The 18,954-nt window shown below is 43.3% G+C and overlaps 2 annotated features.

Annotated features, from left to right (window-relative positions):
* Positions 2,084 to 2,710: an enhancer, noted in NCBI's record as "NANOG-H3K27ac-H3K4me1 hESC enhancer chr8:8328681-8329307 (GRCh37/hg19 assembly coordinates)". NCBI's record gives its function as "activates a minimal SCP1, AML or CMV promoter by ChIP-STARR-seq in primed H9 embryonic stem cells {active_cell/tissue: H9 hESC(primed)}" and the evidence as "EXISTENCE:reporter gene assay evidence [ECO:0000049][PMID:30033119]".
* Positions 18,517 to 18,666: a silencer, noted in NCBI's record as "silent region_18896". NCBI's record gives its function as "represses an Ori minimal core promoter by ATAC-STARR-seq in GM12878 lymphoblastoid cells {active_cell/tissue: GM12878}" and the evidence as "EXISTENCE:reporter gene assay evidence [ECO:0000049][PMID:35858748]".

Raw genomic sequence — 18,954 nt, forward strand, 5'->3', positions numbered from 1 at the left:
CTTCCATGGGTGGGGCTTTTAGTATTATAATGATATGTTAATGATCTAAAGGCAACAAGGAGTTGCTGGTTCTGGTTTTTTCTGGGTTTGAGCAGGCTTTATCTTCCTCTGATAACTGGTAAAATGTTCTGAAGCTGCTGGACCATCAGGAGTCCTTGTGAGCTAGCATACCAAGAGATCCAGAGAATAAAATAAGCTGTTTAAGAAATAATATCTGTGGATCATCTGAGGTCAGGAGTTTGAGAACAGCCTGGCCAACATGGTGAAACCCCATCTCTACTAAAAATACAAAAATTAGCCACTGCCCTCTAGCCTGGGTGACAGAGTGAGACTCCATCTCAAAAAAACAATACAAAAAAAAGAAATAATACTGAGCTTTCTCAGCTATCTACTGCTAAAGAAAATAATGAGCTCTTTCAGGTGTTTCTCCAGGGCTGCCCCAGATCTTGAGATGAGATTATCCTGGATTAGCCTGGGTGGGCTCTTCACGAAATCATAAGAATCCCTAGAACAGGGAGGTAGAGGGAGAGCTGACACACAGATGAGGAGGCAGCGTGCATGAAGGCAGAGATGAAAGTGCTGCAACCGCACGTCAAGGAATGCTGGCGGCACCTGATGCTGGGAGAGGCAAGGAATCGATTCTCCTCCAGAGCCTCCTGAGGCAGTGCGGCCCTGCAGACACCTTGATTTCATCCTAGGGATACTGATTTGGGACTTTTGGACTCCAGAACTGGGAAATAATAAATTGTTATAAATTTGAGCCACCCAGTTTGGGGTAATTTGTTACAGCAGCCACAGAAAATTAATAGAAGAATCTTAGCCAACAGTAGGGTGGAAAGAATTCCATTTTAAATCCTGTTTTTATTTTTTTAGAGACAGGGTCTCGTTTTGTTGCCCAGGCAGGTCTTGAACTCCCAGACTTAAGCAATCCTCCTGTCTGAGCCTCCTGTAGTGCTGAGATTACACTGTGAGCCACTGCACATGGCCTTAAATCCTGTTTATAAAAGAAACAATTTTAAAAATTATTTCAATGCTTCTGAAAAGAGCTGGTTATCTGTCTTGCGTGTTATTTTTTAAAATTATTTTGTATGGATACATAGTAGGTATATGTATTTATGGGTTACATGAGATATTTTGATACAGGCATGCAATGTGTAATAATCACATCAGGATAAATGGGATTTCCATCACCTCAAGCATTCATCATTTCTTTGTGTTATGAACATTCCAATTGTATTCTCTCAGCTAATCCAAAATGTACAACAAATTATTGCTGACTGTAGTTACCCTGTTGTTCTATCAAATCCCAGATCTTATTCACTGTATGTAACCATATTTTTGTACCCATTAACCGTTACAATTTCCCTGCCTTCCATTACCCACCCCAGCCTCTGGTGGCCACCATTCTACTCTCCTAAGTGTTGATATGCTTGAGGGGCATGATTTGATTGGTGGTATCTCTGCATTTGTTATTTTCTCTGTCTGAGTAACAGTGGGGCCTCATTGTAGGTCCTTAGTAACTTATTGGCCTAAGTCTTTCATTGACATTATCTCTGTAGACAGAACCTTCTTGCAAGTCCTATTCTCACGCAGCATTCTTGATCAGTTACGCTTGAAATGACACTATCGATGTGTTTGTTTCTTTCCTGGGGAAATTTAATATTAATTTTTCCCCAGGGAAACTCCCAGAGACAGCATGGAACAACTTGCCTTGTGCACTCCTTGCAGAAAGAGGAGGATTCCCCTGTTATTGATAAGAGATAAGAGATGTGGAGGGAGGAGCCAAGATGGCCGAATAGGAACAGCTCCGGTCTACAGCTCCCAGCGTGAGCGACGCAGAAGACGGGTGATTTCTGCATTTCCATCTGAGGTACCGGGTTCATCTCACTAGGGAGTGCCAGACAGTGGGCACAGGCCAGTGTGTGCGCGCACCGTGCGCGAGCCGAAGCAGGGCGAGGCATTGCCTCACCTGGGAAGCGCAAGCGTCAGGGAGTTCCCTTTCCGAGTCAAAGAAAGGGGTGACGGACGCACCTGGAAAATCGGGTCACTCCCACCCGAATATTGCGCTTTTCAGACCGGCTTAAAAAACGGCGCACCAGGAGACTATATCCCACACCTGGCTCGGAGGGTCCTACGCCCACGGAATCTCGCTGATTGCTAGCACAGCAGTCTGAGATCAAACTGCAAGGCGGCAGCGAGGCTGGGGGAGGGGCGCCCGCCATTGCCCAGGCTTGCTTAGGTAAACAAAGCAGCCGGGAAGCTCGAACTGGGTGGAGCCCACCACAGCTCAAGGAGGCCTGCCTGCCTCTGTAGGCTCCACCTCTGGGGGCAGGGCACAGACAAACAAAAAGACAGCAGTAACCTCTGCAGACTTAAGTGTCCCTGTCTGACAGCTTTGAAGAGAGCAGTGGTTCTCCCAGCACGCAGCTGGAGATCTGAGAACGGGCAGACTGCCTCCTCAATTGGGTCCTTGACCCCTGACCCCCGAGCAGCCTAACTGGGAGACACCCCCCAGCAGGGGCACACTGACACCTCACACGGCAGGGTATTCCAACAGACCTGCAGCTGAGGGTCCTGTCTGTTAGAAGGAAAACTAACAACCAGAAAGGACATCTACACCGAAAACCCATCTGTACATCACCATCATCAAAGACCAAAAGTATATAAAACCACAAAGATGGGGAAAAAACAGAACAGAAAAACTGGAAACTCTAAAACGCAGAGCGCCTCTCCTCCTCCAAAGGAACGCAGTTCCTCACCAGCAACGGAACAAAGCTGGATGGAGAATGATTTTGACGAGCTGACAGAAGAAGGCTTCAGACGATCAAATTACTCTGAGCTACGGGAGGACATTCAAACCAAAGGCAAAGAAGTTGAAAACTTTGAAAAAAATTTAGAAGACTGTATAACTAGAATAACCAATACAGAGAAGTGCTTAAAGGAGCTGATGGGGCTGAAAACCAAGGCTTGAGAACTACGTGAAGAATGCAGAAGCCTCAGGAGCCAATGCGATCAACTGGAAGAAAGGGTATCAGCAATGGAAGATGAAATGAATGAAATGAAGCGAGAAGGGAAGTTTAGAGAAAAAAGAATAAAAAGAAATGAGCAAAGCCTCCAAGAAATATGGGACTATGTGAAAAGACCAAATCTACGTCTGACTGGTGTACCTGAAAGTGATGTGGAGAATGGAACCAAGTTGGAAAACACTCTGCAGGATATTATCCAGGAGAACTTCCCCAATCTAGCAAGGCAGGCCAACGTTCAGATTCAGGAAATACAGAGAACGCCACAAAGATACTCCTCGAGAAGAGCAACTCCAAGACACATAATTGTCAGATTCACCAAAGTTGAAATGAAGGAAAAAATGTTAAGGGCAGCCAGAGAGAAAGGTCGGGTTACCCTCAAAGGAAAGCCCATCAGACTAACAGCTGATCTCTCAGCAGAAACCCTACAAGCCAGGAGAGAGTGGGGGCCAATATTCAACATTCTTAAAGAAAAGAATTTTCAACCCAGAATTTCATATCCAGCCAAACTAAGCTTCATAAGTGAAGGAGAAATAAAATACTTTATAGACAAGCAAATGCTGAGAGATTTTGTCAACACCAGGCCTGCCCTAAAAGAGCTCCTGAAGGAAGCGCTAAACATGGAAAGGAACAACCGGTACCAGCCGCTGCAAAATCATGCCAAAATGTAAAGACCATGGAGACTAGGAAGAAACTGCATCAACTAACGAGCAAAATCACCAGCTAACATCATAATGACAGGATCAAATTCACACATAACAATATTAACTTTAAATATAAATGGACTAAATTCTGCAATTAAAAGACACAGACTGGCAAGTTGGATAAAGAGTCAAGACCCATCAGTGTGCTGTATTCAGGAAACCCATCTCACGTGCAGAGACACACATAGGCTCAAAATAAAAGGATGGAGAAAGATCTACCAAGCCAATGGAAAACAAAAAAAGGCAGGGGTTGCAATCCTAGTCTCTGATAAAACAGACTTTAAACCAACAAAGATCAAAAGAGACAAAGAAGGCCATTACATAATGGTAAAGGGATCAATTCAACAAGAGGAGCTAACTATCCTAAATATTTATGCACCCAATACAGGAGCACCCAGATTCATAAAGCAAGTCCTGAGTGACCTACAAAGAGACTTAGACTCCCACACATTAATAATGGGAGACTTTAACACCCCACTGTCAACATTAGACAGATCAACGAGACAGAAAGTCAACAAGGATACCCAGGAATTGAACTCAGCTCTGCACCAAGCGGACCTAATAGACATCTACAGAACTCTCCACCCCAAATCAACAGAATATACATTTTTTTCAGCACCACACCACACCTATTCCAAAATTGACCACATAGTTGGAAGTAAAGCTCTCCTCAGCAAATGTAAAAGAACAGAAATTATAACAAACTATCTCTCAGACCACAGTGCAATCAAACTAGAACTCAGGATTAAGAATCTCACTCAAAGCCGCTCAACTACATGGAAACTGAACAACCTGCTCCTGAATGACTACTGGGTACATAACGAAATGAAGGCAGAAATAAAGATGTTCTTTGAAACCAACGAGAACAAAGACACCACATACCAGAATCTCTGGGACGCATTCAAAGCAGTGTGTAGAGGGAAATTTATAGCACTAAATGCCTACAAGAGAAAGCAGGAAAGATCCAAAATTGACACCCTAACATCACAATTAAAAGAACTAGAAAAGCAAGAGCAAACACATTCAAAAGCTAGCAGAAGGCAAGAAATAACTAAAATCAGAGCAGAACTGAAGGAAATAGAGACACAAAAAACCCTTCAAAAAATCAATGAATCCAGGAGCTGGTTTTTTGAAAGGATCAACAAAATTGATAGACCGCTAGCAAGACTAATAAAGAAAAAAAGAGAGAAGAATCAAATAGACGCAATAAAAAATGATAAAGGGGATATCACCACCGATCCCACAGAAATACAAACTACCATCAGAGAATACTACAAACACCTCTACACAAATAAACTAGAAAATCTAGAAGAAATGGATACATTCCTCGACACATACACTCTCCCAAGACTAAACCAGGAAGAAGTTGAATCTCTGAATAGACCAATAACAGGCTCTGAAATTGTGGCAATAATCAATAGTTTACCAACCAAAAAGAGTCCAGGACCAGATGGATTCACAGCCGAATTCTACCAGAGGTACAAGGAGGAACTGGTACCATTCCTTCTGAAACTATTCCAATCAATAGAAAAAGAGGGAATCCTCCCTAACTCATTTTATGAGGCCAGCATCATTCTGATACCAAAGCCAGGCAAAGACACAACCAAAAAAGAGAATTTTAGACCAATATCCTTGATGAACATTGATGCAAAAATCCTCAATAAAATACTGGCAAACCGAATCCAGCAGCACATCAAAAAGCTTATCCACCATGATCAAGTGGGCTTCATCCCTGGGATGCAAGGCTGGTTCAATATACGCAAATCAATAAATGCAATCCAGCATATAAACAGAGCCAAAGACAAAAACCACATGATTATCTCAATAGATGCAGAAAAAGCCTTTGACAAAATTCAACAACCCTTCATGCTAAAAACTCTCAATAAATGAGGTATTGATGGGACGTATTTCAAAATAATAAGAGCTATCTATGACAAACCCACAGCCAATATCATACTGAATGGGCAAAAACTGGAAGCATTCCCTTTGAAAACTGGCACAAGACAGGGATGCCCTCTCTCACCACTCCTATTCAACATAGTGTTGGAAGTTCTGGCCAGGGCAATCAGGCAGGAGAAGGAAATAAAGGGTATTCAATTAGGAAAAGAGGAAGTCAAATTGTCCCTGTTTGCAGACGACATGATTGTATATCTAGAAAACCCCATTGTCTCAGCCCAAAATCTCCTTAAGCTGATAAGCAACTTCAGCAAAGTCTCAGGATACAAAATCAATGTACAAAAATCACAAGCATTCTTATACACCAACAACAGACAAACAGAGAGCCAAATCATGACTGAACTCCCATTCACAATTGCTTCAAAGAGAATAAAATACCTAGGAATCCAACTTACAAGGGATGTGAAGGACCTCTTCAAGGAGAACTACAAACCACTGCTCAAGGAAATAAAAGAGGACACAAACAAATGGAAGAACATTCCATGCTCATGGGTAGGAAGAATCAATATCGTGAAAATGGCCATACTGCCCAAGGTAATTTACAGATTCAATGCCATCCCCATCAAGCTACCAATGACTTTCTTCACAGAATTGGAAAAAACTACTTTAAAGTTCATATGGAACCAAAAAAGAGCCCGCATTGCCAAGTCAATCCTAAGCCAAAAGAACAAAGCTGGAGGCATCACACTACCTGACTTCAAACTATACTACAAGGCTACAGTAACCAAAACAGCATGGTACTGGTACCAAAACAGAGATATAGATCAATGGAACAGAACAGAGCCCTCAGAAATAATGCCGCATATCTACAACTATCTGATCTTTGACAAACTTGAGAAAAACAAGCAATGGGGAAAGGATTCCCTATTTAATAAATGGTGCTGGGAAAACTGGCTAGCCATATGTAGAAAGCTGAAACTGGATCCCTTCCTTACACCTTATACAAAAATCAATTCAAGATGGATTAAAGATTTAAACGTTAGACCTAAAACCATAAAAACCCTAGAAGAAAACCTAGGCATTACCATTCAGGACATAGGCGTGGGCAAGGACTTCATGTCCAAAACACCAAAAGCAATGGCAACAAAAGCCAAAATTGACAAATGGGATCTAATTAAACTAAAGAGCTTCTGCACAGCAAAAGAAACTACCATCAGAGTGAACAGGCAACCTACAACATGGGAGAAAATTTTCGCAACCTACTCATCTGACAAAGGGCTAATATCCAGAATCTACAATGAACTCAAACAAATTTACAAGAAAAAAACAAACAACCCCATCAAAAAGTGGGCGAAGGACATGAACAGACACTTCTCAAAAGAAGACATTTATGCAGCCAAAAAACACATGAAGAAATGCTCATCATCACTGGCCATCAGAGAAATGCAAATCAAAACCACTATGAGATATCATCTCACACCAGTTAGAATGGCAATCATTAAAAAGTCAGGAAACAACAGGTGCTGGAGAGGATGTGGAGAAATAGGAACACTTTTACACTGTTGGTGGGACTGTAAACTAGTTCAACCATTGTGGAAGTCAGTGTGGCGATTCCTCAGGGATCTAGAACTAGAAATACCATTTGACCCAGCCATCCCATTACTGGGTATATACCCAAAGGACTATAAATCATGCTGCTATAAAGACACATGCACACGTATGTTTATTGTGGCATTATTCACAATAGCAAAGACTTGGAACCAACCCAAATGTCCAACAATGATAGACTGGATTAAGAAAATGTGGCACATATACACCATGGAATACTATGCAGCCATAAAAAATGATGAGTTCATGTCCTTTGTAGGGACATGGATGAAATTGGAAACCATCATTCTCAGTAAACTATCGCAAGAACAAAAAACCAAACACCGCATATTCTCACTCATAGGTGGGAATTGAACAATGAGATCACAAGGACACAGGAAGGGGAATATCACACTCTGGGGACGGTGGTGGGGTCGGGGGAGTGGGGAGGGATAGCAGTGGGAGATACATCTAATGATAGATGACACGTTGGTGGGTGCAGCGCACCAGCATGGCACATGTATACATATGTAACTAACCTGCACAATGTGCACATGTACCCTAAAACTTAAAGTATAATAAAAAAAAAATTAAAAAAAAAAAAAAAAAGAGATGTGATTGACACCTCCGATGCTGAGCTGGCTCCCGGTTCTGGCATCCTGACTGTTGACACACAGAAACTTAAAGGTGTACTAGAACTTGAGGTTTTGTAATCCGAACCCTAGAGTTTGCAAGTGAGGCCCCTGAAACCTATGGAGCTCGTTGGTTGAGGAGCGCAGTGAGCGCAGGGTCACTTCCAGAATCATGCTGGCCGCCTTTGGCCACTTGGTCACACTCTTCCTCTCTCTATGCTCGTTTCTCCATCTCTCTCTCTCTCTCTCTCTCTCTCTCTCTTTTTTTAGACTGAGTTTTGCTCTTGTTGCCCAGGCTGGAGTGCAATGGTGCGATCTTGGTTCACTGCAACCTCCGCCTCCCGGATTCAAGTGATTCTCCTTGCCTCAGCCTCCTAAGTAGCTGGAATTACAGGTGTCCACCACCATGCCCGGCTAATTTTTGTGTTTTTAGTAGAGACAGGGTTTCACCATGTTGGCCAGGCTGGTCTCGAACTCCTGACCTCAGGTGATCCACCCACCTTGGCCTCCCAAACTGCTGGGATTACAAGCATGAGCTACTATGCTTGGCCTCATTTCTTCATCTCTAAAAAGGAGAAGAAGGCAGGGCCAGGAAACTTCTCTGTTTGCTCATCCAACAAACAGTTGTTAAGGAAGCGACCCCTTGCCAGACCTCTGACTAGGTGCCAGAGTTAGGAACACAAATCTAACAGTTCCTTTCCGATGGAACCCAGTCTGATGAGCCACATACTTCCCTCGGATCCCCCCTTTCAAGTTAAGACTTGTATGGATGTCCATCATCTATACCAGATAAAAGCAGAAGGGCTGTGGTTGCAGCAGATACTGGGGAAGGCAGGTAGAGGCAGGGTAACTTGGTGCCCCATAAACTTGGTACCTTCTACTTCCCTGGCTATTCCTAGGGTCTCAGGAACTCTAAGACTCAGTGGTGTCTCAGCTGCAAAAATGCAAAGTAGAGCCCAGCCCAGCATGGCGACTACGAGCCCTGGCTCTGGGGACATTCAATTTGGTTTCTGATTGCTGCTGCTGCTTCCAAGCTTTGAGATCTTGTTCAAATTATTTAATTCCTCCATGTCTCAATATTGTCATCCATAAAATTAGGATTATACCTAATTCTAATAGTACCTAATTCCTTGAATGTTGAAAATAGTAAATGAATTCATTCATATATAACACAACAGAGCTGGACACAGAGTAAGCACTCAAGAAATGTCAGGTAATACAGTCCACGTGTTCATGAACTGCCCTTCAGCTCTCTCCAATCCAGCATAGCTGTCCACATTCTTCAATCAGCGTGGATGACAGCAATGGAACAGACTTGAAAGTTTAGGAAAATTCCACTTGACTTGAAAGCACCTTGATGACAGATCATACGATGCTTGCCTTCTAATGGTCAGGACTGAACTTCAAGAAGCTCTGGACACTGACTGAGGCCAAGCCCAGTCAAGGGGAACAGAAGGGAAGCCATCTGGGACTTCATCTCAGTCTGCCAGGAAACTGACATCTTTTTGCAAGTTAACAACCAGGGAATCAGAGGGAAATTACTTTTATCAGAGGGTTATGGCTTTGCCACTAGAAAGGGAGGCTTTCCTGTTTGCCGAGCCTTTAGCACAGGTCCAGCAATAACATGAAGGAGAAAGGCTGGGAATAACCCAAAGCAAACTGGAGAGAAGCTTCAACTTGGAGATGGGGTGGGAGTTGGAGGAGAGACTGGAAAGGAACAGGAAGAGAGGCAGTTTTGGACCAAGTGTCAGAGATGGAAGGGGAGGAAAGGAAGAAGGCTGAACGGTCTTCTCACTAAGGACAGTTCATCATCCTGTAGACTCATTGCTCAGGGACCTGGGGCCTGCATTCCGAACAGTGGCGAACAGATGTAGCCTGGAGGGCCTGCGGATGACCCTGGGAAAGATGCAGCTGGTGGTGGAGGATGCCCGCGAGGCAGTGACCACCTGAGCTCTGGCACCCGCGCTCCCCACCTGGCCTGTGTGCATTTACTCAGCCCACCGATAGCATCTGCAAAAGCTCCAGGGGCTCCAGATCAAGTTCCCAAGGAAGGCTGACATCAGACCCAAGGGAGGAATGCTTCCTTCCCGTTCCCATTCGAACCAACAATGCAGCCTGTGGCAGGTGTCCCTGCGTCACAGAAACCACAAGGACAGTGAGACCAGGCTGAGTGCTCCTGGCCCTTGCCCGGGTGCCCTTGCATTCGTATGTTCTACACCAAACCTGTGAGCCCAGCCAGTGGGAGGAGGAGGAGAAGGAAGGTGAGCGGATTGGCTCTAACTTTCCACCCTGCTGGAAAAGAATCCAATCCCTTCTGGACGAATGCCACTTTCACAGATAAAGGAAGAATGTGGAAATAGCAGTCAGAGCTGAACCAACAAGAAGGAAGGTCGGCCCAACGTGTATTGGATGTCTACAACATACCAGATATTGGATCTGACAATTTACGTTCACTCTAGTTTATTCTCAAAGATGAGACCTGGGCTGGGCACAGTGGGTCATGCCTGTAATCCCAGCATTTTGGGAGGCCCAGGTAGGTGGAGCACTTGAGGTCAGGGGTTTGGGACCAGCCTGGCTAACATGGTGAAATCTCGCCTCTACTAAAAATACAAAAATGAGCCAGGCATGGTGGTACATGCCTGTAATCTCAGCTACTCAGGAGGCTGAAGCAGGAAAATTGTTCGAAACTGGGAGGCGGAGGTTGCAGTGAGCCGAGATCGTGCCATTACACTACAACCTGGGTGACAGAGTGAGAATTTGTCTCAAAAAAAAAAAAAGAAAAGAAAAGAAAAGAAAAGGAGGCCCCAAGGTTGGAGTTACCATCCTCATTTTACAGGGGAAGAAACTCAGGCTCACTGACTTTCAGTCACCTACCCCAGGGCCATGTAGCTGGATTTGGAGCCAGGCTGGTCCTACTCCAAAGAAAGAGTTCTTTCCATGATGAGAGTAGAACCCAAATACTACCTGCCGACTGGTGTTGGAAGCTGCTTAAGGATACAGATGTCTGCTTCTAGCTCTGGAAAAACTGATTTAGAAGTTCTGAGGTGAGGCTGAGAAATACGCCTCAGCAAATATTTCTAAAGCCCTCCTGGTAATTTGGGTCCTTAGCTGGATCAGGCACCAGATTGTCACACGGCACCAGCCCCTCCCACCGACACCTCTGACCCTGGTGAAAGCAGCATCAGTGCTTGTAAGAAGGCCCGAGACCTGAGATTCCACCCACCAGATCTGCCTTGACCCACTGCAGTTCCCTTCATCCTGGACCCCGGTCTCCTTCATCAGAAGGACATTGGAACTACCCAGTCTATCTGCTTTCTACTGGGTTGTATAGCTCCCTGCAGATGGGATCTGGCCTCCCTACAAACTCCATCAGATATTCTTCATTTAACAAACACTTCTAGAACAGTCACTATGTGCCTGGCAGCACTGTGTTTTACATACACAATCAATTCTCATTACTTGCCATAGTTATGTTCTTTTTTTTCTTTTTTATTTTTGAGATGGAGTTTCACTCTTGTCACCTAGGCTAGAGTGCAATGGCATGATTTCAGCTCACTGCAACCTCCGCTTCTCAGGTTCAAGCAATTCTCCTGCCTCAGCCTCCCAAGTAGCTGGGATTACAGGTGCCTGCCACCACGCCCAGCTAATTTTTGTATTTTTAGTAGAGATGGGGCTTCACCATGTCAGCCAGGCTAGTCTCGAACTCCCGGCCTAAAGTGATCCACCCACCTGGGCATCCCAAAGTGCTGGGATTACAGGTGCGAGCCACCACGCCTGGTATGTAGTTATGTTCTATAGATTCTCAGCAAACACTGAGTTAACAAATACTGAACCATTGCTCCTAGGGGAGAGCCAGAGTGAGGTTTGTATGAGCAGAAGGTCACAATGTTTTGTTAACAGGTCAGTACATAATTTGGCTTTCTATGAGCTTCTGTCTAAAGACATCTTATTTCACATATATTGTTGACTCATTAACATTGAAATCACAGCCCACAACACTATAACTCATGCATGAACTAAGCTTTTCCAAACACACATATTTTCTCTGTAAGGCACGTCCCAACTTTCTGTGCTTAGGAACACGGGGCGGCACTTCAGCGCCATGCCTGGGGCCCATTTCAGATAGAAAAATGACTAACAAAAAGTACAAACGTGCAATAAATGTGTACTAAATAGACTGCAAAAAAGACGTGTTTACAAACTGAGAGCTGAAATAGTAGGGCAGAGGGTAACCTTGTTCAGCCACAGCTGGGAACATGCATGTTGGTGACACACATGCTTGCAGCTCTGCACGTGTCCACAAATGACCACAAAAGTGTCCTAGGTATTGATCTGGGAGTCACAAATAAATGTTAGCAAGTAGGCAAGATCACAAATGCAGAATTAAGAGGATCAGCAGTATTCACTCATTTAATTGTTAACAGTTCATGAAGTAGGTGTTATCCTCGCCCCTCTTTGATCCTGATAAGGATCAAGAACTCAGAATGAGTTCCAGAATCCTGAATAAGTTGTAAAAAAATTTATTAACAGATTCCAAAAATGTCACTCTCATTTTAATAGATGAAAGAATGAAGGTACAGAGAGGTCAGCAACTTGCCCAAGGTCACACAGCGAGTAAGCGGTAGAGTTGGGATTTAAGTCTGGTGTATGAGGCTGAAAGTTAACCCTATAATCATGTTGCCCTTGAGTGATTTCAAACCGTGGACTGCACAGCTGACCATGACCAGAGCCTACCCATCAAGGTGACACTGATGTAATTAAAAAGGAAAGAAGCCAGGTGCAGAGGCTCACGCCTATAATCCCTGCACTTTGGGAGGCTGAGGCGGGTGGATCACCTGAGGTCAGGAGTTCGAGACCAGCCAGGCCACCATGGTAGAACCCCGTCTCTACTAAAAATACAAAAAAAAAGGAAAGAAAGAAAGAAAGAAAGAAAGAAAGAAAGAAAGAAAGAAAGAAAGAAAGAAAGAAAAAAAAAAAAAAAAATAGCCAGGTGTGGTAGCCAGCACCAGTAGTCCCAGCTAGTCGGGAGGCTGAGGCACGAGGAGAATCAGTTGAACCTGGGAGGCAGAGGTTGCAGTGAGCCAAGATTGTGCCACTTCACGCCATCCTGGGTGACAGAGTGAGACTCTGTCTCAAAAAGAAAAAAAAAAAAAAAAAAAGGAAAAACACAATACTTTTGTATAGTTTTAGGCACTTCTAGATATTCATTAGGCCTGTTGCCTATGTCCTCTTAACTTTGAGTTTCTCAAACTGTTCTAGGAGCCCTGATTTCAGAATCATCTGGTGTAATACAACTTCTCAGAGATTCTAATTTGACTGGCTTAAGGTGGGGCTACATTTTTAATAACTGCCTCAAATAAGCCTAATGTTTTCGGATTTAGAAAGCACTGCCTAAAATTCAATGCCATATTGAATCAAAATTACACATCAAAAATAATATTTCTTTTTGAAATTAGTAGCATTCAGAGCTCTTCAGACTTTTCTTTTTAAGGTCACAGTTTTGTTTTCTTAATAGGTTGGGGGGAGGAAATTGGTCAAATAAAAATTATCGGAAATTCAATTAAAAAGTAGAAAGAGTATTTTTTTTTTAAAGACTTGCTTCAAGATTTCTATAATACCAAAAACTGGCCGAGAGCGGTGGCTCATGCCTATAATCCCAGCATTTTGGGAGGCCGAGGTGGGTGGATCACCTTAGGTCAGCAGTTTGAGACCAGTCTGGTCAATACGGTGAAACCCTGTCTCTACTAAAAATACAAAAATTAGCTGGGCATGGTGACAGGCACCTGTAATCCCAGCTACTTAGGAGGCTGAGGCAGGAATCGCTTGAACCAGGGAAGCAGAGGTTGCAGTGAGCCGAGATTGCGCCATTGCACTCCAGGCTGGGCAACAAGAGTGAAACTCTGTCTCAAAAAAAGAAAAAAAAAAAAAAGATTTCTGTAATACCGAAAGTTAAAGAAACTTTGGCTTACTCAAAGATTTGATTTCTCTCTGAAGGGTGGGTTCTTACCTAGCTCAAACTCATAAAACTCTTGTCCAATGAAGAAACAGGAGGTTGTTATCCCTTCTCTGTTTATCAACTTCTCCAAGATCTGACTTTTCAAGAAAAAAAATTACAGGTTCAGTTGAGAACAATGGAGAAACTAGGTTAGCCCATTAATGTTGCTTTTAGAAATCTGAGCACTTAAAAATAATGACTAACTGGAAGATTGTTACAGCAGTGTGCATTTGTCAAAATCCACTTAGCTACTTGTGATTTGTGTACTGCCATGTTAATAAATTATAGTTTGATATGAAATACACAGAAAAAGTTTTTAAAAATGAGTCAGTGCTTTTGCGTAATTCTACTCCTCACATTCTATTTTTTTCTGAGTTATCACAGAAGACAAGGTCTGTGTGTGCACTAACTTTTTTTCTGATTTTGTTCTCACTTGTTTAGTCCTGTGCAGAAGTCAAAGGAGACATGGCCAGAGGGCTGCTGAAATATTCACCAGCTTAATGTTACCTCTGGGAAGAAGGGATGGGCATGGACTTGCTATGCCTTCTGCTGTGTTTCTCTGAAAAAAAAAAAAAAAAAAAAAGGAATGCACTATGATGGTTTCAAAGAAACAGTTGTGCACCACATCAAAGGCCCTCACTGTGAAACCAGCTACCATCCAAGGTTCCAGTCATCTCAGTGGTAACGGAGCCTGAGCAAAGGGCAATATGGGCCTCTAAGATTTTGTCTGGGCAGCAGTCCACCGATCTCATCTTCCTCTATTATATTACCTCATCATTTGGGAGTTTGGAAGATGAATGGGTGAAGGAATGCATCTCAGTGGTAATGGAGCCTCAGCAAAGGGCAATATGGTCCTTTAAGATTTTCTGTCTGGGCAGCAGTCCACCAGTTTCATCTTCCTCTACTATACTAGCTCATCATCCAGGAGTTTGGAAGATGAAGGGGAGAAGGAATGCTTTGCAATCATCTGCGATTGGAAACTGAGCCCAGACACTCCGAACTACCGTCCTGGCTGGAGCTGTCTCTTTCACAGACATCTTTCTTTAGCAATAGTTGCTTTGGGGATTACAAAAAGGAACGGGATGGGCATAGTGGTGTGCACCTGTAATCCCAGCTACTTGAGAGGCTGAGGCTGGAGGATTGCTTGAGGCTGGGAGTTCCAGGCTGTAGTGCACTATGATCATGCATATGGAGAGCCACTGCACTCTATCCTGGGTGACATAGTGAGAGCTCATTCCTAAAATAATTTTCTGAAACTAGAAGAAAAAAAGGGACAGGTTGCTTTTCATGTACAAAAGGACCCCTGGCTAGCTTGCTCATGGGATAAGAAGTTGATGCTTATTTGTCTACCCTTCCTTAACCTGCTTCCCCTGGGAGGAACCACACACAGTGGGAGGTACCAATCAGGACTCACCGAACTCTGTGAGTTTTGTAATGGGGAAACACACACCCCAACCAGCTGCTCCTGATCTGAATGCTTTTCTTGGGCTAAGTGATTTGTTCTGTGACGTTCTGGGCTACGTCGTGTAATAAGTATTGCCAGATGGCAATCACAAGCATCATTTCCATTTCATATTTGTGTTGCCCCATATCTCTGTCACTTTGTGCTCCCAGAGTGGGTGAAGAGGCTGGGCCCTCTGATAGTCACAGACATAGCCAGGCTTTAAAAATCTCACACCAATCACCGTAAATAATTTTAAGGCTTCTTATCCTTTAAGATCTGATATCTGGAAAGTGTGAGATTTTTTTTTCCACGAGGACTATTCATACGCTTGTTTTCTTGAGGACGGTGACCCCCTTTCAAACTCACCTGGATGATGCATTTCAAATTCTCAGAGAAGTTGCATGAGCCGATAGCTTTGAGGGAATTAAAAAAGACTCAAATCAAAGTCGATAATTAGCAGTTATGCCCGTGGATGTCAAAACACCTGAGAGGCTCTCAGTTGGCTTGGAATGTCCAAGTAGAAATCAACTTCAAACAGTGTCCTTAGCAAATTTGTAAAATGTGTATACGTGTGACTATGTGCTTTTTTTTTTTTTTTCCTGCTTGTCACTGTGCTGCAAATTGGTTGGACCCTAAGTCAATCAGTTAAAAAGTAGGCAGTTAGGAGAAAAATGCCTTTCTGCCAGCAGTGTGGAACCACCCCTTAGCTTTAAGAACCCTGCTCGGGAGGAGATCAAACTGCCCCTGGATGAGCTGACTGTGAGAAAGCGAACCTGCCGAGTGCACAGGCCAGGGCTCATCCAAAAGTTTTGCTTGGCAGTTCTGCCCAGAACTATCTCTGTGTAGCTACTCCCTTCTGAGAAATGCAAATGTCATGCAGGCCCTCATCAAGAAAAATCACCAGCACTCGCCTTAAGAAAGAAGGGATAAATGCTCATATTATCCATTCAAATGTGAGTGTATTCAATGACCACACATGGGACTGAGCTAGATGGTATACACAATGAATACCAAAGCTGAATTTCGAGGCAGGTGCCTATAATCCCAGTGCCTGTAATCTTTGTAATCCGGAGGCTGAGGTGGGAGGATCCCTAAGTTCGGGAGTTCGAATCCAGCCTGAGCAAAATAGCAAGACCCTGTCTCTAAAAAACAACAACAACAAAAAAACAAAAAGCAGAAATTTTACCCTCCAGGGACTTATAGTCTAATATTTCTCATAGAAGCAAATTATGAACATACAGTATTTTATATATATATATATATGTTTGTTGTTGTTGTTGTTGTTTTGAGACAGAGTCTTGCTGTGTCACCCAGGCTAGAGTGCAGTGGTGTGATCTCAGTCTCAGCTCACTGCAACCTCTACCTCCCGGGCTCAAGTGATTGTCATGCCTCAGCCTTCCTAGTAGCTGGGACTACAGGCACGTGCCACCATGCCCAGCTAATTTTTGTACTTTTAGTAGAGACGGGGTTTCACCATGTTGGCCAGGCTGGTCTTGAACTCCTGACCTCAGGTGCTCCACCTGCCTCGGCCTCCCAAAGTGCTAGGATTACAGGCGTGAGCCACTGTGCTTGGAAGTATTATATTCTTTATTCTTCTGAGATTAGACATCAAATGCTGAGGGGAAATATGTAGATGAAGAAAAACAGTTGTTGAGAATGTGGAAACGTGCATCTGGCACTGTCGTGATATTAGAGAGCTCTAGACGCTGGTTTTCTGCCTAAAAAGTGAGAAGGATAATTAGGCGGCCTTTAAGTCACTCCTTCAGCTACGGGCACTCTGCAATTCTACTGCCTCTAATTCCCTACACTGCTAACAATTCATTACCATTAAGTAAGTGTAATGTTAGCTGCAGGCTTTTTACAGATAATCTTTATCAAGTTGAGGAAATTTCTTTCTATTATTAATTTTCTGAGGGTTTTTATCAGACAGATGCTGAATTTTGTCAAATGCCTTTTCGGTGCATTGATTGATATAATCATATACTTTCTCTTCTTTAGCCTGTTAAGAAGGTGGATTACATTAACAGATTTTTCAAAACATGAACCAGCCTTGTGCCACTTCCTTCTGGCTCTAAGATTTCTGATAAGAACTATGCTGCCATTCTAATTGTTTTTCTCCTGTAGGTGAGATCTTATTTCTCTTCTGCTGATTTCAAGGTTTACTTTTTCATTTCCTCTAATTTTCAGAAGTCTAATTATGACGTGTCTGTGCATGGAACTTTGTGGGGGTGTGTGTTTGAGTTACACTTAGGCTCTTAAATCTGTAGATTTCTGTTTTCTGCCATTATTTCTTTAAATACATTTTCAGCCCCATCGTCCTTCTTCTTTTCTTGGAACACCAATGACCTGAATGTTACTGTTCTGTTAGAGACCACAGGTCCCTGAAACTCTGTTAATTGAATTCTAGTTTATTTTCTCTGTCTTGTTTAGATTGCATAACATCTACTGTTCCTTCAGCTCACTGCATTATTCTTTCATACCCTCTATTCTGCTATTAAGCCCATCATGGATAATTTTATTTCAGTTATTGTATTTTTTAGTTCTAAAATTTCTGTTTGTTTTTTCTTTATATCTTCTATTTCTTTGCTGGGCCTTCTATTTTTTAATTTGTTTCAAGTGTGTTCTTGAAATATTTTTACAATGACTGCTTTAAAATCCTTGTCAGATAATTTCAACATTTCTGTCATCTCAATGTTGACATCTGTCGATTCTATTTTTGTTTGTTTGTTTGTTTGTCGTACAGATGAGGTCTTGCTATGTTGCCCAGGCTCGTCTTGAACTCCTAGGCTCAAGCCATTCTTCTGCCTCGGCCTCCCAAAGTGCTGGGATTACAGGCATGAGCCATCATGCTTAGTTTGATTCTACTTTTTAATTCATTTACAATTATTCCTGCTTATTGGTATGATGAGTGTTTTTCTTTCGAAACCTGGATATTTTTTTACTATGTTGTGAGCCCCTGGATCTTATTTAAACCTTCTGTTTGAGCTGTGTTTTGTTTTGTTTTGTTTTTCAACACTACTTCAGTAGGAAAACAGGAGTCTCTTACTGCCAGGTAGAGGAAGAAATCCAGGTTCTCCACCCATCCTTCATTGACACCCAAGTTTGGGGGTGGGGATGCTCCTTGTTACGGTTGGATGGAAGAGGAATTTTCAGCTGTGTTTGTGGTCTCCACTGATACTGAGGTAGAGCTGACCTCATTGTTGATGGTAAATCTTGAAAGTCCCGAGTCTCCACTAGAATATCCCTCTGACGCCACCCAGATGGTAGGAGGACAGGCGCTTTGTTATTGCTGGTGGAGGAGAAAGGCAAGACTCTCCTGACATTCTCCACAGATACCACGAGGTGGCCTTATGACAGGCTCTGTTTGACTGTCTCAGATGCTCCCTACAGGGGAGGTGTTGGAGCACCTTGAGACAGTCTCGTGTGGGTGGAAGTCTGGCTCTCCACTTGGATGTACTGGTGTGTGTCTTAGTCATTTCAGGCTGCTATAACAAATTACCATAGACTGAGTGGCTTATAAACAACAGAAGTTATTTCTCATGGTTCCAAGGTTGGAACCCTGAGGTCACAGTGCCAGCATCACCGGGTTCCAATGAGGACTCTTCCGGATTGCAGATGGCCCATTTCCTGCTGTATCCTCACGTGGTGCAGAGAAGCCAGCAAGCTCTTCCAA

Source organism: Homo sapiens, chromosome 8 (genome assembly GCF_000001405.40).
Source record: "Homo sapiens chromosome 8, GRCh38.p14 Primary Assembly".
Lineage (NCBI taxonomy): Eukaryota > Metazoa > Chordata > Mammalia > Primates > Hominidae > Homo > Homo sapiens.